The sequence below is a fragment of the Homo sapiens genome, chromosome 15, assembly GCF_000001405.40.
Source record: "Homo sapiens chromosome 15, GRCh38.p14 Primary Assembly".
Classification (NCBI taxonomy): Eukaryota; Metazoa; Chordata; class Mammalia; order Primates; family Hominidae; genus Homo; species Homo sapiens.
Window position 1 is genome coordinate 25,625,373 of NC_000015.10, and position 26,455 is coordinate 25,651,827.

General features: G+C 42.9%; 1 long non-coding RNA gene across 1 annotated transcript, besides 2 other annotated features; it reads left to right on the forward strand.

The window, feature by feature from the left end:
- Positions 1–11,079: 11,079 nt before the first annotated feature.
- On the forward strand, positions 11,080–16,395 carry LOC124903448 (uncharacterized). Its single transcript, XR_007064543.1, has 2 exons — positions 11,080–11,312; positions 15,292–16,395. It is a non-coding gene; the product is annotated as an uncharacterized LOC124903448 (long non-coding RNA).
- Positions 17,512–18,455: an enhancer, noted in NCBI's record as "OCT4-NANOG-H3K27ac-H3K4me1 hESC enhancer chr15:25888031-25888974 (GRCh37/hg19 assembly coordinates)". NCBI's record gives its function as "activates a minimal SCP1, AML or CMV promoter by ChIP-STARR-seq in primed H9 embryonic stem cells {active_cell/tissue: H9 hESC(primed)}" and the evidence as "EXISTENCE:reporter gene assay evidence [ECO:0000049][PMID:30033119]".
- Positions 25,366–25,866: an enhancer, noted in NCBI's record as "H3K4me1 hESC enhancer chr15:25895885-25896385 (GRCh37/hg19 assembly coordinates)". NCBI's record gives its function as "activates a minimal SCP1, AML or CMV promoter by ChIP-STARR-seq in primed H9 embryonic stem cells {active_cell/tissue: H9 hESC(primed)}" and the evidence as "EXISTENCE:reporter gene assay evidence [ECO:0000049][PMID:30033119]".

Below are 26,455 nucleotides of genomic sequence, written 5' to 3' on the forward strand. Positions count from 1 at the left end.
GTGAGCAGTCTTGGGTAGGAGGAAAAGTCCATCCAGGGCCAGCCGCGAGGTGTGTCTGGGGCCTCCATGGACTGCCCCACAGGGCTCTGTTTCCTGGCTTTAAAAAGGTTATGTTTGCACTTTGGGAGGTGAGGCGGGTGGATCAACTGAGGTCAGGAGTTCAAGACCAGCCTGACTAACATGGTGAAATCCTGCTTCTACTAAAAATACAAAAATTAGCTGGGTGTGGTGGTGGGTGCCTATAATCCCAGCTACTCAGGAGGCTGAGACAGGAGAATTGCTAAAACCCAGGAGGCGGAGATTGCAGTGAGCTGATATTGCGCCATTCCACTCACTCCAGCCTGGGCAATAGAGCAAGACTCCGTCTCAAAAAAAAAAAAAGAAAAGAAAAAAAGAGAAAAAGAGGTTATGTCGGGTCCCCCATGCACCCTACACATGTGGGCCTGTTCTGAATCTTTCAGAAGCTGCCTCTGTGAAGTTTCCATTCCATTGCAGAACAAAGATCATTCTCTGGTCCAGATGCTCTGAGCTGCACAAATCTGAAGACAAGGAGGGTGGCTGGTGGTAAATGAAGATTATAGGAGGCCATTGTTGTGGACTAAGTCTAGAAATCAAAGTAGAATCAGCCATGCTCAGCAAACCTAAAGTAAGTTGTTATCTGACCTTCTGCAAAATCAGGAGTGACAACACCCTATTTCCCAAACAGACCAGTTTCCATCTTCTGTTGACAAGGTCATGAAGCTGCCCCTGTTTTCATCCTTAACTGAAGTCACCTGCTGGCAACAAACAGTTATTTTTCTATTGTTCTGCCTCCTTGTCCTCATCTTATAAGACAAGTAACTGTGAAATGACCAATCTGTTTTTGTCCTGGTTTCTGCTCTCTTCAGCCCTTCCTTCTCTGTCTACAAAGCCCTTCTCTGTCTCCTCTGCTCAGCTCATTGGAGCACTGATCCTGCATTATGGAATGAGGTGTTGCCCAACTCTGGAACTGCAAATAAAACAAGTTGAGATCTTTAAACTAAATTTGTTATAATTTTGTCTTTTGACAGTGGCTAGACCTTAACCCATGAGTGGCTGCTGCTGTGAGCAGTAATTCTCTTTTTCTGTCTGAGCCACTGGAAATAAACAGAGTTAATAATAATAACTGACCAGGCATGGTAGCTCACACCTGTAATCCCAGCAATTTGGGAGGCCAAGGCATGGTGGTCCCAGCTAACTCGGGAGGCCGAGGCGGGTGGATTGCTAGAGCCCAGGAAGATGAACCTACAGAGAGCCATGATTGTGCCACTTCAAATTAAATAAATAAATATTTAAAAGCAATGACTAGGAATAAAATGCTAATGAATACAATAAAAACAGATTGGCCTGGGTGCTGTACTCCCCCTGATTCCTGGGGATGACAAAATTTTGAGTAAATGCTCAACTTCAAGATGAAATGGTGAAGTTTACCTTGAGGGATGGTGATGGAGGCTGGTGAATATTTAACTTTTTTTTTTTAACTTTTAATTTAGGTTCAGGTGAACATGTGCAGGTTTGTTGTATAGGTGAACTCATGTCACAGAGGTTTGTTGTACAGGTTATTTCGTCACCAAGGTACTAAGCCTAGTACCCAATAGTTAGCCTCTAGCTCCATCCATGTTCCTGCAAAGGACAAAATCTCATTCTTTTTTATGGCTGTGTAGTATCCCACGGTGCATATGTACTACATTTTCTTTATCCAGTCTACCATTGATAGGCATTTAGGTTGATTCCATGTCTTTGCTATCGTGAATAGTGCTGCAATGAACTCCGAGTGCATGTATCCTTATAATAGAAAAACTTATATTCCTTTGGGTACATACCCAGTAATGGGATTGCTGGGAACTTACACTCCCACCAACAGTGTATAAGCATTGCCTTTTCTCTGCAACCTCTTCAGCATGTTATTTTCTTGACTTCTTAATCATAGCCATTCTGACTGGTGTGAGACAGTATCTCATTGCGGTTTTGATTTGCATTCCTCTAGTGATCAGTGATGATGAGCTTTTTCTTCATACACTTGTTGGCCACATGTATGTCTTCTTTTGAGAAGTGTCTGTTCATGTCCTTTGCCCACTTTTTAATGGGGTTGTTTGTTCTTTTCTTGTAAATTCAAGTTCCTTATAGATACTGGATATTAGATCTTTGTCAAATGCATAGTTTGCAAATATTTTCTCCCATTCTGTAGGTTGTCTGTTTACTCTGTTGGTAGTTTCTTTTGCTGGGCAGAAGCTCTTTAATTTAGTTCCCATTTCTCAAATTTTGCTTTTGTTGTGATTGCATTTGGTGTATTTATCACGAAATCTTTTCCAGTTCTGATGTCCTGGGTGGTGTTGCCTAGGTTGTTTCCCAGGGTTTTTATGACTTGGGCTTTTACATTTAACTTTTTAATCCATCTTGAGTTGATTTTTATATGTGGTGTAAAAAAGGGGTCCAGTCTCAGTGTTCTGCATATGGCTAGCCAGTTATTGTGGCATCATTTATTGAATAGAGTGTCCTTTCCCCATTGCTTCTTTTTGTCAGCTTTGTTGAAGATCAGATGGTTGTAGGTGTGTGGGCTTATTTCTGGGTTCTCTATTCTAGTCCATTGGTCTATGTGTCTGTTTTTGTACCAGTATCATGCTGTTTTGGTTACTACAGCCTTGTAGTATAGTTTGAAGTCAGGTAATGTGATGCTTCCAGCTTTGGGTTTGTTTTTTTTTTCCTTAGGATTGTCTTGGCTATTCAGACTTTTTCTGGTTTCATATGAATTTTAAGATAGTTTTTCCAGTTCTGTGAAGAATGTCACTGGTAGTTTCATAGGAATAGCACTGAATCTGTGAATTGCTTTGGGCAATATGGCCATTTGAATGATACTGATTCTTCCCATTCGTAAGCATGGAATGTTTTTCCATTTGTTTGTATCTTCTCTGATTTCTTTTAGCAGTGGTTTCTAATTCTCCTTGTAGAGATCTTTCACCTCCCTGGTTAGCTCTATTCCTAGGTATTTTTATTCTTTTTGTGGCAATTGTGAATGGGTTCGTGTCCCTGATTTTGCTCTTGGCTTGATTATTGTTGGTGTATAAGAATGCTAGTGATTTTTGTACATTGATTTTGTATCCTGAAACTTTGCTCAAGTTGTTTATCAGCTGAGGGAACTTTTGGGCTGAGACAATGGAGTCTTCTAGATATAGAATCATGTCATCTGCGAAAAGGGGTAGCTTTCTGTCTTCCTATTTGGATGCCCTTTATTTCTTTCTCTTGCCTAATTGATCTGGCCAGGACTTCCAAAACTATGTTGAATAGGAGGGGCAGAGAGAGGGCATCCTTGTGTTGTGCCAGTTTTCAAGGGGAATGCCTCCAGCTTTTGCCCATTCAGCACGATATTGGCCGTGGGTTTGTCACTGATGGCTCTCATTATTTTGAGGTATGTTCCTTCAATACCTTGTTTATTGAGAGTTTTTAACATTAAGGGATGTTGAATATTATTGAAAGTCTTTTTTTGCATCTATTGAGATAATCATGTGATTTTTGTATTTAGATCTGTTCATGTGATGAATCATATTTATCGATTTGTGTATGTTGAACCAATCTTGCATCCCAAAGATAAAGCCTACTTGATGGTGATGTATTAGCTTTTTGATGGGCTGTTGGATTTGGTTTACAAGGATTTTGTTGAGGATTTTTGCATCAATGTTGATCAAGGATATTGGCCTGAAGTTTTCTTTTTGTGTGTGTCTCTGCCAGGTTTTGGTATCAGGATGATGCTGGCCTCATAGAATGAGTTGGGGAGGATTTCCTCCTCAATTTTAAAAAATAGTTTCAGTAGAAATGGCATCAGCTCTTTTTTGTACATTTGGTGAATCAGTCTTCTCCTGAGCTTTTTTTGGTTGGTAGGCTATTTATTACTGCCTCAATGTCAGAGCTGATTATTCATCTGTTTAGGGATTTGATTTCTTCCTGGTTCAGTCTTGGGAGAGTGTGTGTGCCCAGGAATGTATTCATCTCTTCCAGGTTTTCTAGTTTGTGTACATAAGGGTGTTCATAGTAGTCTCTGAGGGTTATTTATATTTTTAGTGGGGTCAATAGTAATATTCCCTTTGTTGTTTCTGATTGTATTTATTTGCATCTTCTCTCTTTTCTTCTTTATTAGTCTAGCTAGTGGCCTATCTTATTATTTTTTTTTTTTTCAAAAAACCAACTCCTGGATTTTTTGGTCTTTTGAATGGTTTTTCGTGTCCTAAGCTCCTTCAGTTCAGCTCTGATTTTGGTTATTTCTTGTCTTCTGCTAGCTCTGAGGTTGGTTTGTTCTTGCTTCTCTAGTTTTTTTTAGTTGTGATGTTAGGTTGTTAACTTGAGGTCTTTCTAACTTTTTGATGTGGGTGTTTAGGGCTATAAATTTCCCTCTTAACACTGCCTTAGCTGTGTCCCAGAGATTCTGATATGTCATATCTTTGTTCTTATTAGTTTCAAAGAATTTCTTAATTTCTACAATAACTTCATTATTTACCCAAAAGTCATTCAGGAGCAAGTTGTTTAATTTCCATTAACTTTCACTTCATACATTTTTCCTGCTGGGTCTCTTTTTACAAGAGGCATGCTTTGCTTTGTTAAATTAAAAAAATAAAGAAAATTGAAAGAGAGAAATAAACAGCAATTTTGAAAAGAAAGAAGAAAAGTTGAAATAAAGATGATTAGGGATGGGATATGGGGGGAGATGAGACAGCCTAGGGTCAGAGAAGACCGAGAGAACCTCTCCGGAGTCAGAGCCTACATGGATCTTCCAAGCTCTAGAACCCAGTTTGTAAATTGCATGTGCATAGTGCAAGGACGGTCTGAAGCACAACTTTGTCAAAACTATGGGATACAGAACCTCATGACCCCCATCACCACAGGGCCACAGGGTGTTTGTTCCCAAGAGCCAGGCAGCCCCAGCTGGCATCCATCCCTCCTCCTGGGCAGCATGGCTGAGGGCACATGGTAACTGGGAAAGTCCCCAGCCCAAAGGCCTATTTGAATTAGGACCAGCCAGTGGTGGCATCAGAGATGAACCCACCTCTACAATGGGCAAGTGTTATCATTCTTTGAATAACTGTTATTGAGTCTTTATTAAGAGAGGAGTAACTGGGCATTAGAATTCACATGTGTTGGAGAAAAAGTTTGTGTTTATCTGATGACATAGTCTGGGGCCAAAAAGCTTTATTAGCCACCATTTACAGCTCTTGCTGAGCATGCTCTCAGTGAAAATTCCAGGATTTCCCACTAAAAGTTTGGCTTCCTGAATACTCTCTTCATCCTAAAGTGGAGGAGCATGGCATTCTGAGGACAAGAAAAGGAGAAATGGTATATGATAAGTAAAGCACTGAGTTTTTAATCCAGAGGCTTCTAGTAGCTGCTTTGGGACGTCTTCCACAGGATACAGATGCCTTGTTCTAGAGCTAACCCAATCAGCTTTGTCATGGCCCCTGGGAGGTGCTGTCCAGAGTCCCTTCAATGACAAACTCTCTGCCCAGCTCCAGGGAGTGCTGGTGGCAGGTGGTTTCCAGCTGCCAGACCCTTGGGGACTGCCTCTGCTTCAGAGCCACCTTGTCCATGGATGCATCCCTCCCTGGGGTGGCCCACACCCAGTGATGGATCCAAGTGGTTATAGGAAGGCCTGTCCATCTCTGTCCACCTTAGAAACAACACTAACTAGCTAAGGAGCCCCCCTAGGGCCAGCTGAAGCCACTTCTGGGTCACCCCTCAGCCCAACTTCCCCTGAACAAATCCCACTTCTTGCTTCTCCTCCCATAGTGTTGATCCCTAGCAAGCACCCTGTGTGCCCAGCTTCATCTCAGCATCGGCTTCCAGGGCTGACCATGACAACCATCTGACCTAAAAATGCTCAAAGGCAGAACACTGAGGAAGCAAAAGGTTTAATTTATGTACTATGTATATCTGCAAAAACATATTCAACATACGAAGTATATTTACACAAATGTTAATGTATAAACATAAATATTCAAAGTATGTATTTACATCTACACACATATTTAATTATTTGAGTATTTTTAAAGTATTTAAAGTATTTACTAGGAGCTCTCTTATCTAATTCCTGTGAACCCTGTAGTGAGTAAGCATACAGCCAAAATTATTTAAAGTAGAAAATCATTATATATGAGCATATATATATATATATATATCTATTACATGCACATGTGTATATATGTGATGTGTATATGTGTGTGTCTATGTAGGCATGTGCAGGTATGTGCGTGGGCACACACATATGCACATCACATGTAAACATAGTTACATATGTGAACATACATAGGTATACGTGCGTGTCTATATGTATATGTGTGTATGCATGTATGTGTGTGTCTGTGTGTGTGTGTATAACATTTTATTTTAACTTGAAGCCTAAAGACATAGATGTACGTGCTGGTCATCTGATTTGGTGATTTCAGATCTATATTGACTTCCTGTTCAGAGCACACAGTTGTAATACATTGTCCATATTTATCAGTTTCAACAGATTTAAAGTGACATGAGAGCTTAAAGACTTTTGGACAGACTCTAAGCGTGGAATTCTTATGGAATTTTACTTCCCTCCATTTGTTAGAGTTTCTTCCCACACACTTAATTGGACATAATGTTTTTTCATGATTCACCTTGATTGAGTCTTTCCAAAGCTTTGAACTTCATTTTCATAGAAACAGTAACTCTTTCCCCACTCATATTGTCATGGGATTAGGTAATATTTAACTAAATCACATGACAACACTATCTGGGCGCACTAGGGCCGGGCACCAACGCCACCGACTCTAAGGCGGCGAGCATCTTGATGGATCAGGCATGGGGCTTGCTCCCTGGTGCTCCAGGACCTCAGCTGCAGCCCAAGGATTCCTTCGGGAAGGTGCAGGAAGCTGGAAGAGCCCTGCCAGCCCAGAGAGGCCATTGTGGGAGGGTCTTTAGGAGAGTTTCTCTTGAGTAAGTGTAAATGCAAAATGTTGAACGTCTAGCTACTGCGGTGTCATGTATGTTTTTAAGAGGTGCACACGCTCACTCCCGTCACTCAGCCCATATCACTAGGTTTCTCTGTGCTGGGCACTGAAAATACAGTCCCCCAGAATGCAAAGTCCTTGCCTCAGAGGGACTCACAGGTGCATGGCACCAATCTGTAAATAGCTATCCCAAGCAACGAGATAGGTGCTGTGAGAATGTGCAGGTGAGAGAGACCACCTAGGCAGGCAGGGCACAGTCCAAAGGGAGGTGACATTTATTTGAGGCAAGTCTTGCAGAATGAATTTGAGGCATATCTTGCAGAATGAGTAGGAATTATCTAGGTGAATAACTGGGGGAGGCACCTTCCCAGCCGGTGACCTTTAGGCAAAGCCACTGATTTCTGGAAGGCTTCAGCTATCTTCAGGAATGATCAGCAATTCAGTGTGACTGGAGGCCTGTGCATGGAATCAGAGAGGCAGGAAGCACAGAGGCTGCAGAGGGAGAGGCAGAGTGGACAGGAACACTCATGTGTTTGTATATTTATGTTCTCCTCACATACTAATTTTCCTATGGAACAAACAATAATACTTTTTTTTTCTTTGGACAGAGTCTTGCTCTGTCACCCAGGCTGGAGTGCCGTGGTGCGATCTTGACTCACTGCAACCTCTGCCTCCTGCATTCAAGCGATTCTCCTGCCTCAGCCTCCCAAGTAGCTGGGATTAGAGGCGCCTGCCACGTCACCCAGCTAACTTTTGTATTTTTAGTAGAGACGGGGTTTTGCCATATTGGCCAGGGTGGTCTTGAACTCCTGACCTCAGGTGATCTGCCCACCTAGGCCTCCCAAAGTGCTGGGATTACAGGCGTGAGCCACAGCGCCCAGCTAACAATAATACTTTTTAACAGATTTTTTGAAGTTTTAAAATTTTAATTATTATGGATACATAGGCACATTGGGTACATGTGATGTTCTGATACCGGCATACGATGTGTAACAATCACATCAGGGTGATTAGGGTACCCATCACCTCAAGCATTTATCATTTCTTTATGTTAGAAACATTCCAATGCCACTCTTTTCATTATTATTATTCTTATTTATTTATTTTTGAGACGGAGTCTCTCTCTGTCGCCCGGGCTGGAGTGCAATGGCGCGATCTGGGCTCACTGCAAGCTCCACCTCCCGGGTTCACGCCATTCTCCTGCCTCAGTCTCCCGAGTAGCTGGGACTACAGGCTCCTGCCACCATGCCCGGCTAATTTTTTGTATTTTTAGTAGAGACAGGGTTTCACTGTATTAGCCAGGATGCCCTTGATCTCCTGACCTCGTGATCCACCCGCCTCGGCCTCCCAAAGTGCTAGGATTGCAGGCGTGAGCCACCGCGCCCAGCCCATTATTTTTGAATATACAATAAATTATGGTTGACTTTAGTCACCCTGTTGTGCTTAACTGAGATTAAATGCAGGTCTGATTAAATGCACCTGGAATTTATTTTGCGTGCTAGAAGGCAGGCATCAAGTGGCTCATCAGATTTTCCAGGACTATTGATTGCACTGTTTTTGTTTGTGCTCACTGAGTAGCAAAGGCTGGCCTGTCATGTATCCTGTGGCCTTGGTGCTGCAGTTTCTACATTACAGGATTCCAGGGGCTTTGCTTACATCATAGTCCACAGGCTGTGCAGTGAGATGCCATTGCACCCCTATGAGAATGATGACAGTGATAAAGGCCAACCACACAGGTGACGGTGAGATTGTGCAGGACTGAAACCCACACACCGCTGATGCAGATGTCACATGAAACAGAAACTTTAGAGAACTGCCTGGCAGCCTCTTAGAAAGTTAAACATACACCTACTGCATGATCCGGCCATTCTGTGGTACTTACCCAGGAGAAAAGAAAGCATAAGTCTGTACGAAGGCTTTTACACAAACGTTCTTAGCAGCCCATTTGCAATAGCCAGAAACTGGAAACACACAGTTTTATCCACATGATAGATGACTACCCAGCAATAAAAATGAATCAACTATTGATACGCGTAATCATATGGGGAAAAAATAAATCTCAAAATAATTACGCTGAGTGAAAGAAGCCAGGCCCCTTCCCCCAAGAAAGGGGAGGGTGCTGTATGATTCCATATATTCTATAAATTTATAAGATGTATATAAAATCCTAGAAAATACAACTAATTCACAGTGCCACCATATAGATACGGCAAAACCCATCAAATTGTATATTTTACATATGTGCAGCTTATTGTATGTCAATTGTACCTGAATAAATGGTTGAGAGTGTGTGTAATCCATGCAGCTACCAGAATAAAGCTTCTCGATCAAGAGGTGTTTTGGAATAACAGTTATTTTATTTTAAGTTATTTATTTAGAGACAAGAGTCTTTTTTCGCTCAGGCTGAAGTGCAGTGGCGTGATCTTGGCTCACTGAAACCTCTGCCTCCTGGGTCCAAATGAGTCTCATGCCTCAAGCTCAAGTAGCTATTTTTTATTTTTACTAGAGACAGGGTTTCACCATGTTGGCCAGGCTGGTCTCGAACTCCTGACCTCAAGTGATCCACCCACCTCAGCCTCCCAAAGTGCTGGGATTATGAGTGTGAGCCACCATGCCCTGCCAGTAATTTTAATTTTAGATTATATAATAGAAATGGATTTTTGAGTCAATGTGGGAAAGGTAAAACTTTCCCTAATTGTTTTCTGTTTCGAATTAGAAAAAGAAATTTTTTTCATGGATAACATAGAGAATTTACAAGAAGCTTATATGAGTTTCCTGGGGCTATTGTAACAGAGCACCACAGACTGGGAGGGTTTAAACAACAGACACTGGTTGTCTCACAGTTCTGGAGGCTGGAAGTCCAAGATCAAGTTATAGGCAGGGTTGGTCTCTTCTGAGGTCCTTCTCCTTGCCTCACAGATGGCCACCTTCTCCCTGTGTCTCTTCACCTATTCTTCTCTCTAGGTTTGTCTTAGTCTCTTCACATGGCATTCTTTTCCTAGTCATATTACCAGTCATATCAGACTAGATAGAGCTCCACCCTACTGTGGCATGACCTCATCCTAACCAATTATACATAACTGCATGTTTCCAAATAAGGTCATATTCTGAGGAACTGGCTATAGAACTTCAATATATGAATGGGGGTAATGAATTCAACCCATGACAAAGTTCTACCTTATATTTTCATTCTTAAAAATAATAGAGGGGTTAGGTGTGGTGGCTCACACCTGGAACCCTAGCATTTTGGGGGGCCAGGGTGGGAGGATCACTCGAGACCAGGAGTTCAAGACCAGCCTGGGCAACATAGTGAGATCCCCGTTTTTACAAAAATAAAAATTGAAAACTATTTAAAAAAAATAGAACAAGAAAGAAATGTGCACCTCTGTTTCTGCCATGCTATACTTGGAAATCAGCCAGGAAGGGAAAGAGCTTTTTGTGCAGCAACTCAGGCTGCCTCCTTGTGCTCTGGAAAAGACTTTCTCTCTGCCCCTCTTTGTTCTGCAGCCTGGGGTGCAGGTTTCTGCCAGGCTGGCCCTTCAGGTTGCCTGCTTTGCTCCTTTGGGCTGGGCCTTTGTAAGGGTGGCACCTGTGCGTGCCACATCCTGCAGGGTTCTAGGGGCATTGCTGCTTTATTGAGGTTTGTTGGTTCGTTGCCATCCTTTCCTGACCCTCCTTTCCTTAGACTAGCATCAAGTTGTCTACATGAACTGAATTCACCAAAACTGTTGTTAGAGATCTGCTGGTAGCAAGCCCTAAGCCTGTCATGAACAGGCCTTAAAGAAACTGGCCATAAACAGCATTTCTGCAGCAATGTGACATGCTCGTGATGGCTATCACGCACACTGCTAAAAGTTGTTGGTTTACTGGAGCGGGACAAGGAAAACCTGGCCCACCCAGAGTGGAAAACTGCTCAAATCACAAACAATAGCAGAAGCGGCCTGTGCCTTAACAACATGCTTTTGCTGCAGATAATCAGCCAGGGCCTGTTTCTCTGCTCCTCACTAGGAATGCTTTTAGTTAATCTATAATCTGTAGAAACTATGCTTATCACTGGCTTTCTGTCAATAAATGTGTGGGTCAACATCTGTTCGTGGCTCTCAGTTTTGAAGGCTGTCAGCCCCCTGATTCCCACTCTGCACTCTATTTCTGTGTCTTTGTCTTAATTCCTCTAGCGCTGCTGGGTTAGGGTCTCCACGACTGAGCTGGTCTCAGCAAGCGGTGCTCAACATGGGGGCTTGAACCCAGGATGAAGAGTCGCTGGAGCGGTGGTTGGAGAACCTGGAAGTAAGCTGGAGAACACCCGAGTACTCTTAAGCAATCCCCGTGGTGAGTAAGAAGGGGAGCTTGGAAGCATCAGGGTAACAATGGGGCAAGGGTCGAGCAGACAAGAGGCTTATTTGAGTCGGCTTCAGCATCTCCTCAGAAAAGGAGGAGTGAAGGTTAGCACTTATGCAGCTTTTTAGTGCAGTAGAGAAATATTGCCCCTGGTTTCTGGACTGAGGAACTATGAATGTAGAGGTCTGGGAAAAGATAGGCGGCACACTGAAAAAGGCATATAAGGATGGTGCTGAGGATATTCCTGTAACTGTCTGGTCAGTGTGGGCTCTGGTTTGCTCCACCTTGGAATCTTTCCACACAGATGATGATGAGGAGGAATCAGAGGAAGAAGAAGAGTGTAATGAAGTAACAGAAGAGGTGACAGAGCAGGTTTGCTTGCCAGCTAAAGCGGCAAAGGAGGGAGAAGTTTGTCCCTACCCCTCTGCACCCCCCATTATTTTGAAGAAGAGTGGCCTGACCCTCCAGATCTTTCTTTTCTGGAGGACGGGGGCAAAAAGTAGCTGCCCTGGTGACCGTTCAAGCAGCGCCTCGAGTGACCTCTCTCAGTTCTATTCAGGCAGGAATCCAGCAAGCTAGACAAGAGGGTGGTATGGATGCTTGGCAGTTCCCTGTTAGAATACATCCACCTGATCAACAGGGGAATATTATAGCTATGTTTGAGACTTTTCCTCTTAAATTACTTAAAGAATTTAAACAAGTTATTAATCAATATGGACCAGGTTCTCCTTTTGTAATGGGACTGTTAAAGGATGTTGCTGTCTCCAGTCAGATGTTGCCAGCGGGGATGGTAGGATTACTTCTAGGTAGGTCTAATTTAAATTTAAAAGGAGCACAAGTACAAACAGGAGCCATTGATTCAGATTACAATGGGGAAATCGAAATTGTTATATCTACTTCTGTTCCCTGGAAAGCAGAGCCAGGAGATCGCATAGTGCAGCTCCTGATTGTGCCGTATGTGGAAATGGGGAAAAGTGAAATTAAATGAACAGGAGGATTTGGAAGCACAAATAAAGAAGGTAAAGCAGCTTATTGGGTGAATCAAATTCCTGATAAACATCCTACCTGTGAAATAACTATTCAGGGAAAGAAATTTAAAGGTTTGGTACATACAGGAGCGGACATTTCAATCATTTCTCTACAGCACTGGCCGTCCACGTGGCCAATTCAACCCTCTCAATTTAACAGAGTTGGAGTTGGTAAAGCCCCTGAAGTATATCACAGTAGTTATATTTTGCATTGTGAAGGGTCCGATGGACAATCTGGGACTATTCAACCAATTGTAACTTCTGTACCTATAAATTTATGGGGAAGAGATTTATTACAGCAATGGAGAGCACAAGTGTTAATTCCAGAACAATTATATAGCCCTCAAATTCAGCATATGATGCAAGAGATGGGGAATGTGCCTGGCACGGGATTAGGAAAAAATTTACAAGGGTTAAAGAAACTACTCCAAGTGGAAGGACAGAATTCTCGTCAGGGTTTAGGATATCATTTTTGATGGCGGCTATTGGTAAGCCTCCAGAACCTATACCGTTACAATGGTTAACAGATAAGCCAATTTGGATAGAACGATGGCCACTGACTAAAGAGAAACTAGAGGCTTTAGAGGACTTCTAATTTTTACTGAACAATTAGGAAAAGGACACATAGCTCCAACATTTTCCCAATGGAATTCTCCAGTCTTTGTTATTAAGAAAGAATCAGGTAAATGGAGAATGTTAACTGACTTAAGGGCCATTAATTCAGTTATGCAACCTATGGGCGCATTGCAGCCAGGATTGCCTTCTCCTGCTATGATTCCAAAAAATTGGTCTTTAATAGTCATAGATGTAAAAGGCTATTTCTTTACTATCCCCTTAGCTGAGCAAGGCTGTGAATGGTTTGCATTTACAATTCCTGCGGTAAACAATCTGCAGCCTGCTAAGCATTTTCACTGGAGAGTGTTGCCACGAGGCATGTTAAACAGTCCAACAATTTGCCAGACTTATGTAGGGCAAGCAATTGAACCTACTCGTAAAAAGTTATCACGGTGTTACATTATTCATTATATAGGCGATATTCTTTGTGCTGCCCCCACTCGGGAAATATTACTCCAATGTTATGATCACTTAACAAAACTCGATTTCTCAAGCCAGTTTAATTATAGCGCCTGACGAAATTCAAACTACTACTCCTTACTCCTACTTAGGGACCTTAGTAAATGACACTACAATAATAGTGCCACAGAAAGTAACTATATGTAGGGATCAACTAAAAACACTGAATGACTGTCAAAAATTACTAGGGAACATTAGTTGGACACGACCTGCTCTAGGCATTACTACCTAAGCCATGAGTAATCTATTTTCTATCCTTAGAGGAGATCCTAGTCTCACTAGCCCTCAACAATTAATAAAGGAGGCTGAGACAGAGTTACAGCTGACGGAGAAGCAAGTGCATAAAGCTCAAATAAATAGAATAGATCCAAAAAATACTTTTGACTTGTTGATTTTTCTGACTCAGCATTCACCTACTGGTGTTATTGTCCAAGAGCAGGACTTGGTAGAATGGCTTTTTCTTCCACATACGAATTCACAGACTGTCTTTATTTGGATCGTATTGCTACTCTGATAGGAAATGGGAGAACTCGAATTGTTAAATTGCACGGATATGACACTGGAAAAATTATTGTCCCTCTTACAAAGACACAAATACAACAAGTCTTACTTGGCAAACCCATTTAGCTGATTTCGTAGGTGTTCTTGATAATCACTTTCTGAAAACAAAATTATTTCAATTTTTAAAATTAGCGAATTGGATTCTCCCTAGAATAACTAAATTTAAACCAATCGAAGGTGCTGAAAATGTTTTTACAGATGGGTCTGGTAATAGTAAAGCTTCTTATTCTGGATCAAAAAGTAAAGTTTTCCGGACACCCTATACTTCAGCTCAAAAATGGAGCTTGTAGCTGTAATTGAGGTACTGACTGCTTTTGAGATTCCTGTCAATGTAATTTCTGTTTCTTCATATGTGGTTCATTCTACACAGTTAGTTGAAAATGCTCAGCTACAATTCCACACAGATGAGCAACTGATGACTTTATTTACCCAATTGCAAACAGCCGTTAGGAATAGAATGCACCCTTTTTACATTACTCACGTTAGGGCTCATATACCTCTTCTAGGACCTTTAACTGAAGGTAATCAAATGGCTGATCACCTAGTTGCTACTGCAATATCTAATGCTAGACACTTTCACAATTTAACCTATGTCAATGCCTCTGGTCTCAAACGCAGATACAGCATTACCTGGAAAGAAGCTAAAGCTATTATCCAGCGATGCCCAACTTGCCAAATGGTACATTCCTCATCTTTTACAGAAGGAGTTAATCCTGGACGATTGAAACCTAATTCTCTTTGGCAAATGGACATCACACATGTTCCCTGGTTTGGGAGACTAGCTTATGTACATGTATGTGTGGACACCTTTTCTCACTTTGTCTGGGCTACATGCCAGTCAGGAGAGTCTTCTGCCTGTGTTAAACATCATCTTTTGCAGTGTTTTGTGGTGATGGGCATTCCAGCTTCTATTAAAACAGATAATGCCCCAGGCTATACTAGCCAAGCTCTAGCTACATTTTTCTCTATATGGAATATTAAACACATTACTGGTATCCTATATAATTCACAAGGACAAGCCATTGTGAAAAGAATGAATCTCTCCCTAAAACAGCAGTTACAAAAACAGAAAGGGGGGAACAGTGATTATAGGACTCCACACATGCAACTAAATCTAGCATTATTAACTTCAAATTTTTTGAGCCTGCCTAAAGGCCAGGTGCTATCAGCAGCTGAGCAGCATCTACAGAAACCCGCTGCAAAGACAGAAGCAGAACAACAGGTTTGGTGGAGAGATCCGTTAACAAAAAGTTGGGAAATAGGTAAAATAATAACTTACGGTAGAGGTTATGCTTGTGTTTCTCCAGGCCAAAACCAGCAGCTGATTTGGATACCATGAAGACACCTGAAACCTTATCATGAGCCAGATGCCGAGGAAGAGATTTTGCGAGGGACCCAAGGACCACCCTGTTGCAGCCAAGTCCAGACTGACAATAAGGCCTCCTTTCCTGTTTGTAGTGGGTGATTTAAAACTTGATCTCTCTAGATCAAGCTTTTTTTTTTTTTTTTTTGAGCTATACTTCAGCTCAAAAAGAGGAGCTTTTTGATGTGATTTGTCAAGAATGTAGATTGTTTTCTTGTGTGAATTCTTCCCTGTATAATCCTGATCATTCTATTTTAGTGGTAAGAGCCCGAGAAGGAGTATGGATACCTGTAAGGCTTTCCCGTCCTTGGAAAGCCTCTCCTTCTGTGCATATTATTACTGAAATTCTTCAAAAGATTTTGAGGCACTCTTGGCGTTAAATTGCTGCTTTAATTTTAGTCATTATGGGATGATTGCTGTCACAGCTACTGCCACGGCAGCTGGAGTTGCTTTGCATTCCACAGTACAAACAGCAGACTATGTAAATAATTGGCAGAAAATTTCTACTCTGCTGTGGAATTCCCAAACTAATATAGACCAGAAACTAGCTAATCAAATCAATGATCTCCAACAAACTATAATGTGGCTAGGAGATTGAGTAGTTAGTCTAGAATATAGAATGCAGTTACAATGTGATTGAGATACTTCTGATTTTTGCATTACTCCTCATCTGTATAAAGAAACAGAGCATGAGTGGGAAAGAGTTAAGAGACATTTAAAGGGTCATACTGGAAATTTATCTTTGGATATTGCAAAACTGAAGGAACAAGCATTTCAAGCCTCTCAGGCATATCTGACGCTAATGCCAGGAACTGAAGTGCTTGAAGGAGCTGCAGACGGATTAGCAGCTATTAACCCGTTAAAATGGATCAAGACACTTGGAGGGTCTGTGATTTCAATGGTGATTGTGCCTTTAATCTGTGTTGTTTGTCTTTGTGCAGTCTGCAGATGGGGATCCCCAATCCTGTGAGAAGGAGCCCACCATGACAAAGCTGCCTTTGCCTTTATTGCTTTGCAAAAAAACAATAAATAAATAAATAAAGAGGGACATGCTGGTAGCGAGCTCTAAGCCTGTCATAAACAGGCCTTAAAGAAACTGGCCATAAACAGGATTTCTGCAGCAATGTGACATGCTAGTGACGGCTATCACGTACACTGCTAAAAGTTGTTGGTTTACTGGAGCAGGACAAGGAAAACCTGGCCCACCCAGAGTGGAAAACTGCTCAAACCACAAACAATAGCAGGAGCGGCCTGTGCCTTAACAACATGCTTTTGCTGCAGAAAATCAGCCAGAGCCTCTTTCTCTGCTCCTCACTAGGAATGCTTTTAGTTAATCTATAATCTGTAGAAACTATGCTTATCCTGGCTTTCTGTCAATAATGTGTGGGTCGAACTCTGTTCGTGGTGCTCAGCTCTGAAGGCTGTCAGCCCCCTGACCCCCACTCTGCACTCTATTTCTGTGTCTTTGTCTTAATTCCTCTAGCGCTGCTGGGTTAGGGTCTCCACGACTGAGCTGGTCTTGGCAGAGTTCCATATCCAAATCTGAGTTGCTGTGAAGGTGCAGATTCTTTTAACATTAGGAAAAGGGAATATCCTGCGAGGATCAGAACTCCAAGACAGAGTCTTGGATTTCAAAGCCTGGTGATGGTGAAAATGGTGTGTCTTTGGGGATAGAGAGAACTTTTGCCTTCACATCTCTCACGTTCACCCTTATACATCGTTGCACAGGGGAGCTTGTGAGCTCTGAGCCCAGCTTGGCTGTGGGAGCAGGAGGAATCTCTGGTTTGGGTGCTGAGGTATCCTCAGCAGGGTGGGTGTGTTGAGGAGATGAATAGTTGGCAGAACTGTCCACAGGCTTTTCTTTTCTGCCACTGTCCTCACTGTGGTGTCCTTGGGAGGCTACAGGAGTCATGGGACCAGGGACCTGCTCAGCTATCCGACCGGTGGCCCCACCGCACACAGACACTTTTGCACAGGACATCACCCATCCCAGGGACTGTAACATATTCATTTTACCAACTCTTTCTTCCTCAGCATACAGATGTCCTTCCTGCCTGCCATTAGCACTTCCCAAAAAACTGCCAAGCCACGTATCTACCTGACTTTTCTTTACATATTCTTTTTTTTCTTCAATTTTTATGTTAAGTTCAGGACACATGGGGAGAACAACACACACGGGGTCTTCTTTTTAAAAAACAGAACAATCAATACTTGCTATCAAAAAATAGAAGCTACACACTTAAATAAAAGATGTTGCCCATGGAGTCCCTAAAATTGTCCCGTGCGTCAGCGGCTGGGTGCACACCACACTCTGCGAAATGGTGATGCTAGGCCTCTGGCCCTTTCCTGGAATTCGCAGCCCCTCATGAGGAGCCCTTTGGAATGAGAGGAAAAATAAGCATGTGGACATGCCCTAGCCGAGGAGTGTTCTTTTAGTATCTGCCAATTGAGAAAATAGACAACGTACAAAGCTACTATTCAGAATGAATTCACCTTATGTTAATGAAATGGCCCTCTGCAGATGGCCTGGTGCACTAACCCTCCCTTCCATCTGCAGAGGGCCTGGTGCACTAACTAATTTGAAGCCACTTTGCAACTCTGTGGCTTCCTGGGGTCGGCAACTCACAGTTGGGAATTCCTGGTTTAGGGGAAAGAGCCAAGACCCCCTTTGTTCCATTGTGTGGACTTGAGCATTTTGCCTTCTAGCTGGTTTTAGGTTCCCCTGACTATGAAATAGGCATAAAAGCCCCTGCGTTTTTTTTTTTTAAACCTCACAGATGTTATTTTTGTGAAGACAATGGAAAACACTATTCTTCCACTCTGGGCAACATGGTGAAACCCCGTCTTTACCCAAAATACAAAAATTAGACAGGCATGGTGGAACTCACCTGTAGTCCCAGCTATTTGGGGGCGGGATGATGGGGAGGGCCGTTGAGGCAGGAGAATTGCTTCAGCCAGGGAGGCAGAGATTGCAGTGAGCTAAGATCATGCCACTGCACTCCAGCCTGGGTGACAGAGTGAGACTCTGTCTCAAAAAAGAAAAATAAAAAAAGGAAGAAAGAAGGAAAGAGAAAGAAAGAAAAAGAAAGAAAGAGGAAAAAGAAAGAAAGAAAGAGGAAAAAAGAAGAAAGAAAAAGAAAGGAAGAAAAAAGAAAGAAAGAGAAAGAAAGAAAGAAAGAAACTATTCTAAAGAGGAGAAAAATCATATTTCTAAATGCAAATTGTCAATATAACCCTTTCCATGAAATCTCAGAAGAAGCTAGGACTCCTGGGAGACAAAGAAGAAAGAAAATATGAATGGAAACATCATGGGAAGGCCAGTGATCAGTGATGGAGACACTGACCACAAGAGCCCCAGTGACTCAGCTCCTTAATAATCACCAGGCCCAGGAGCCCAGGAAGTTGAGACCACATGTGATGTGGAGGAAACTCGGCAGCATTGGGCTTAGGCGCCTGGCTCCGGGCACTGAAGGGAGGGCTGCAGAGATCATGGGGACAGGCCATTCCTCTTCTCCCAAGGACAGTCTGTGTTACTGCGGAAACGGGCCAGGGCTGCCCTTGAAGTCCTTGGAAATCACACCAGGAATGGCCTGACCACACTGGGCAGGAGGGAGAAGAAAAGGAAGCCCAGGGACTGGGCGGAGAGGGAGAGAGCCTGCCGCAAGGGCTTCAGGGCAGGAGGGGGCTTCTCATTCCCCGCTCAGCTCCTGGAACAAAGGAAAGCCCCGCCCTGCCGCCCTCACTCAGTCCCGTGTTCTATTTAAATCCTGTGCCCCATTGCAAGACTGCATTCAGTCTGCATGAGCCTTAGTTTCATAAAAGCCCCCTCACACCGAGGGGACAATGTTCAGAACTAAATGACTGCAGGTGAGCAATTCTCTGTATTATACAAACTGGGACCAAAGATGACTTTATAATAGTGGCAAGAGACAATCAGGCAGACTGGGAGGACCTTATAAATAGATTATAAGGCTGTGGTGAGTTTATTTTAACTTAAAAAAAAAACCTTCTTTTCTGGTATACCATAGTGAAAATGTAACAGTGTCTGGATGATCTATTGCAAAAAAAATTATCCTTTGTTTCTTGATTTTTTTTCTTTTTAATTCAAAAGCCCCAAATTTCTGAGTTTCCATGTTGAGGATAAAACTCCTTTTAGAAAAATTCTAAACTTGGAAAATAGTGAGGCCCTGATTAAAATGGCAGCTCATTTGGAAAAAACCAGAAAACAGCCCATTTGCTTTCCTGATGTCATCATCACCAGCAAGCATTTCTTGAGCTTTGGTTTGATACACAGACTGGGCCCAATAGAGCCGCTGGGCATGGAGGTGAGGCCGGTCCTCTGCATCCCTGAAGAAGGCAGTCTGTATATGCACAACTGTGCAGGCAGCACACTGAGGACACATTGGATCCTTTGGGATGTCTTCTGGGCTTTCCACTTAGAGTCAAACAAAAAGGCAGCAGGAGTACAGAGAGCTGGCTAGTCCCTTCCCCTATGTGAGGACCCAGTGAGAAAGTGCTGTCTATGGACCAGACGATGGGCCCTCACCAGACAGCAAACCTGCTGTGCCTTGATCTTGGACTTCCCAACATTCAGAATGGTGAGAAATACATTTCTGCTCTTTATAAGCCACTGAGTTTATGGTATTTTGTTATAGCAAATGGACTAAGATAATGACTTAACACTGGAACAAGCTGGCAAACGTGTGGTATGCACATGTGTGTGTGCGCTTATGTGTCCATGTGCATGTATGTGTGTTTATGTGTATCTGTGTGTGTGCACACATGTGTGTGCATATGCGCTTGTGTTTTGAGATGGAGTTTCGGTCTTGTTGCCCAGGCTGGAGTGCAGTGGCGGGATCTTGGCTCACTGCAACCTCAGCCTCCTGGGTTCAAGCGATTCTCCTGCCTCAGCCCCCCAAGTAGCTGGGATTACAGGCGTCCACCACCACGCACAGCTAATTTTTTGTATTTTTAGTGGAGACAAGGTTTCACCATGTTGGCCAGGCACAGCCCAACTCTTGACTATCCCAGTGTCTGCTTGGCTGTCTTGCGGGATTCCAGGGTCCTGTGAGGTGCTTTGTGCAAAGGGCTTCCACAACCAAGTACGAGCAGATGTTCCTGTGATGAGGGAGTCAGAAGGTTGCAGTTGGACTTTGCTGATAGAATCTCCATTCCTGGAAATGTTTTTCAGAACAACAACAAAAAAATAATCTGATTAAAAGATGGCCAAAGGACTTGAACAGGCATTTCTCCAAAGAAGACATACAAATGGCCGACAGGTATATGAAAACGTGCTCAACATCAGTGATCACCAAAAGGAAATGCAAACCTAAACCACAATGAGATATTACCTCTCAGTCGTTAGAATGGACAGTATCAAAAAAGTGGAAAACATATTGGTGAGGATGTGAAGAAATTAGAACACTTGTATACTGTTGGTGGTCGTGTACAATGCTGCCGCCACTATGGAAAATAGTATGGAGGTTCCTCAAAAAATTATGAATAGATTTACTATATGATCCAGCAATGCCACTTCTGGGTATATATCCAAAGGAAATGAGAGCAGGATCTGGAAGAGATATTTGCATACCCTTGTTCACTGCAGCATTAGGTGTAATAATAAAGAGGTAGAAGCAACCCAAGTGTCTACGGAAGAATAAGTGGATCAACAAGATGTGGTCTAGCCATAAACAGAATATTTATTCAGCCTGTAAAAAGAAGGAAATCCTGTCGCATGCTACAACATGGATACACTTTAAAGACATTATATTAAGTGAAATAAGTAAGTAACAGAAAAAGACAAATATTGTGTGATTCCACTTACGTGAGTTATCCAAATTAGTCTAATTGGGCCAGGCACGGTGGCTCATGCCTATAATCCCAGCACTTTGGGATGCCGAGGCAGGAGGATCACTTGAAGCCAGAAGTTTGAGACCAGCCTGGTTAACATAGTGAGACCCCATCTCTAAAAATAAAAATTTTTAAAAAGATTAAAAAGTAGTCTAACTCATAGAGACAGAAAGTCGAATGGTGGTTGTCAGGCACTGGGAGAAGGGAAAAATGGGGTGTTGTTCAACAGCTATAGTTTTGGTTTTGCAAAATAAAAAGGTTCCAGAGATCTGTTATACAACAATGTGAATATAGTTAACATTACTAAACTATACACTTAAAGATTGGTTGAGATGGCATATTTTGTGTTTTCTTTTTTACCACAATTAAGTTTTTTAAAATTTAAATGTACAATATGGTCTAAATCAGACATAATATTTTGGCTATATTTTAATTCGTAACAACAGAATTAGATCCCTAAATCTTAAATTTAGCTGGATAAAAAAATTGGATTCCCTAATTTTAAGAAAACTTAGGAGCGGAAAATTTAAATCTGGGAAATTTTATCCACTAATTTTATTTTGTTCTGCTTAATTTGAGGGAGGAAAAAGACTATTACCCATTGTAGTGGCAGATATTTTGTTCTAGTTCTAAGAAACCAGCTGAGAGCCGAGATTGGGAAGTCTTGATTTAGGGCAGGAATTCTCAACTTGCTGGGGCCCGCCCCAGCTGTCTGTGGGGAACCTAGGCACACAGGCATTTTTAAACATCCTGGTAATTCTGACTGGCACTCAAGATTGAGAATCGCTGATTTCCAGGAGCAGCATCTGCTCGTACTTGGTTGTGGAAGCCCTTTGCACAAAGCACCTCACAGGACCCTGGAGTCCTGCAAGACAGCCAAGCAGACACTGGGATAGTCAAGAGTTGGGCTGTGCCCAGCCAACATGGTGAAACCTTGTCTCTACCAAAAATACAAAAATCTAGCTGGGCGTGGTGGCGGGCACCTGTAATCCCAGCTACTCGGGGGGCTGAGGCAGGAGAATCGCTTGAACCCAGGAGGCCGAGGTTGCAGTGAGCCAAGATCGTGCCACTGCACTCCGGTGAGGGCAACAAGAGCAGAACTCCATCTCAAAACAAACAAACAAACAAAGAGTTGGGCTGTGGAAAGAATGCAGGAGAAGAGGAGCAAGAAAAGAATGCCTGCCTCCACAAACATAACACACGGCTCTTCCAGGTATGGCATGGGGCCAGGTAAGGCGGAAGAGAAGCTCACATTACCCAGGTGAGAGGAGACCTGTGGACAGAGAGGGGAAAGAGAAGAGCACCCCCCTGTCCTGGTTCCCTGCGGCAATGTCACCCTCACAAAGGATGGGTTGACTCTGAACCTATTTTGTCCCCAAATAGGTGCTCTCTCACAGTGGTTTTTGTTGTTGTTGTTGCTGTTGTTGCTTCTTTTAGTTTAAATTCTGGAACTGTACAGAAAAATTCAGTAATTCTTAAAATGCCCATGAATTTGTCACCTTTATAACATTTTCACAAGGCCTCATTCTAAGTGGTTCTAACAAATTCAACACCAGGTACGGAATCATTACCGTAGCCTATACACATACACATTCTATTCCTTCCACAACGGAGTGTGAAATCTTCAATCATGATCATTCGCACAGCAGCTCCAGGTCTCCCCTCGAGGCCCCTGGAGGAAGGAGGCACAGTACATTGGATCTGTGGATGAGCAGATACATTGATGAGTGGTGCTTCAGCAAGATGACAGATCTCCCAGGGCAGCTGAAAACATTCAAGTGCTGAAAAATTAAGGCATCTTTTTCCTTGATACTTGCAAAACAGTTTATTCATCATATTGTTTTTACTTTTACTAATTCCTCTGACCATGAGTGACAGGTTTATGCCATTGGATGAGTGATATTGCATCCCAGAGCCCAGAGTCCACTGTCTTCCTGATGAATGACAGAGGCTAAGTGGATGGGTGGGTGGAGAGATGGAGAGGATGACAGATGGAGGATGGATGGATGTATACATGAATGCATGCATAGGATGGACATATGCATACATTCATACATGCCTTCACACACATATTCATCCTTCCATACACAAGAAAGACGGATAGGTTGCTATGTAGGTAGGCAGGTATACAGATGAATGGATAAATTGCATTTGTATGGTCCACAAAGCACTCCAACTTCACATGATTTTACTGAATCTTTGCAGTACTCTTGAACAGCTACTGTCATAATTACTCCGAATTTATAGATGAGAATGCCATACCTGGGTTAAGTAACTTGCACAAAAATCACACAACTCGCAAGAAACAAAGCAAGGACTTAGACAAGAGATTTGGTCCTCCTGCAGGCCCTCAAGAAATGGACCCTGTCCTAAAAAATGTCTCTCTCTCTCTCATCCCAGATGCTCTCAGCTACCAGTGAGCTACCCTGTCCACAATCAGTGATGAGGTTTACGAAGAAGTACACCTGCAAGAGGTCACATCTGCTGACTCCCACACCAAAGGATTAAGAACTCAAGTGAAGTTGTTCCCTAGCAAGTTGTTGGTTGACAAAGGGAAAATAAGGAGAGAGCTCCAGACTGCCAAGGCTGCCTGTGTAGGGGAGAAGAGGAGGGTCTTCAGGGGCATAGGGTTGGGGACATTCAGAACTATGATAATGGCCTTTTCTTGATCCACACACTCATCTACCACCAACCCTAGCAGAAAGACAGAGGAGGTATTTATCCATCCCTGCTGCTTCCTTCCTACCCTAGTCTAAATCCTTGACCAAGTAGGGCTGGATACCAGGATTGAGATGTCACAATTTTAAGGGGGGTTTCAAGCAGGGGAAATCACAATACTTCATCTTCTCTTGCCATTAGCTTTTTCTGTTAAAAATACGATGTTTAAAAAGCACATAAACATTTATCCATTTATCATTTACTTTGAAATTCAGCCTTTGTTCTATCCAGAACCAAATGCCAACACAGCATTCTTCTCCAGGCTTAATATGACTTATTCACTTAGGGAAGGGCTGGGAGGCTCTGAACCTTCTGAAATTAGATGAAAGCTGTGTGTATATGTACATTTTCCGAGGGACAGGGATTATCAGTTTTATTGGATTCACAAAGGATCTGTGTTAGAGACCTTGAGAGGAATTAAACATCTCTGTGAGTATATGCTGTAGGGCTTTGCTGCACTGTCCTTGGAGGCTGTGCTGACAGTGACCCCAGTGGTGAATCCCCCAGGGCTCTCATGGGAAGTTAGAAATGAAAGCAGCTCAAATAAAGAAGCCTGACTACTGAGTGTGGCCAATGGGAGAGAGAATCAGGTAGGGGAAGAGACCTCCAGACCACAGCAATTATCAATCAGCATGGGGAGTTGGGAGTCTGCAGAAAAGGTCTTTTTTCTTTTTTTTCTAGAAAAAAAATTTCTTTAAAAAAGTAAGGATTCTTCTAGAGGGTGTGTACTTTAGAAGACAATTTGGCATGGCTTAATGTCTTAGTGTGCTCAGCTGTCATAGCAAAATACCATAGACTGAGTGGCATAAACAGCAGACATTTATTTCTCACAGTTCTGGAGCCTGGAAGTTCAAGATCAAGGTGCCAGCATGGTCATTTCCTTGTGAGGACTCTCTTTTAGGTTGCAGACAGCTGCCTTCTTGCTGTATTCTCACATGGGGAAAGGGGGGATGGAGAGCGGAGAGAGAAACAACGAGCAAGCCTCTGGTCTCTTCTTATAAAGGCACTGATCCCACCATGAGAACCTTACCCTCATAACCTCATCCAAACCCAGTGATCTCGCAAAGCCCCATCTCCAAATACTGTCACATTGGGGGTTAGGGCTTCAACATCCACATTTTTTGGGAAATGATTCAGCCCATGGCACCTAGTAAAATTAAAGATACATAGTGATGGTTAATTTTATGTGTCAATGTGACTGGGCCACAGGGTGCCCAGAATAAACCTTATTTCTGGGTGTGTCAGGGAGGTTGATTCCAGCACCCAATCCTTTGAAGGCCTGAATAGAACAAAAAGGTGGAGGAAGGAGGAATTTGCTTCCTTTTTCTGGCTTCACTGCTTGAGCTGGGACATCTCATCTCATCTATCTCCTCTCCTCTCCTCTCCTCTCCTCTCCTCTCCTCTCCTCTCCTCTCCTCTCCTCTCCTGTCATCTTCTCTGGCCCTCAGACTGGGTTACACCATCAGCTCCCCTGGTTTTCAGACCTTCAGACTTGGACTGAATTATACCACCTGCATTACTGGGTCTCCAGTGTGCAGACATTAGATCATGGGACTTCTCAGCCTCTACAGTTGTGTGAGTGAATACCTCCTAATAAATCTGTCTATCTATTATCCATCCATTCACCCATCCCACTGGTTCTGTTTTCCTGGAGGACCCTGACTAACATATGCACATATGTTGCTACCCAGCAATTCTGACCCTCTACATATGCATTAGAGACACATACGTACACGTGACCTAACAGGTGCATTGAACATTCTCAGCAGCACTGCTAGCAACAACAGCAGCAGAATGGACAGACACACAAGACACATTCACACTGGGGGACACTGTGTAGCAGTGAAAATAGATGAAGCACATCTCCAGGCATGAGCCAGGAAGGATCTCACCAATGTTGGGCAGGAAGAACTGGCTGCAGAGGATACATACAAGTGATCTGGTTTATATGAAGCTAAAAAATAGGCACAACTGAGCACTATATTGTCTGTGAATATGCACATGTGGGACATGGCTTCCAAGAAAGCCAAGGAAACAAGTAACCAAGTTCAGAGTATTTCCCTGGGGATGGGGTGGCAGGCTGTCAGAGGAGGGCACATTGACTAGGGGGTCATTGGTATTGGTAATGTTCTCTGTCTTAAACTTGGCTCACGGGATCATAGCAGTTTATTTTATCATTATTTTTAAAAATGTATTTGTGCATATATACATATATATACACACACGCAATATAATACATATTTACATAATGTATGTCACATATACCGTATATCATATATAAAGCATGGCACTCTTGTATGCATATTTCTTTTTTTTTTTCGACACAGGGTTTTGCTCTTATTGCCCAGGCTGGAGTGCAATGGCAGGATCTCAGCTCACCGCAACCTCCGCCTCCCAGGTTCAAGTGATTCCCCTGCCTCAGCCTCCCTCAGCTGGGATTACAGGCGTGCGCCACCATGCCCAGCTAATTTTGTATTTTTAATACAGATGGGGTTTCTCCATGTTGATCAGTCTGGTCTTGAACTCCCGAACTCAGGTAA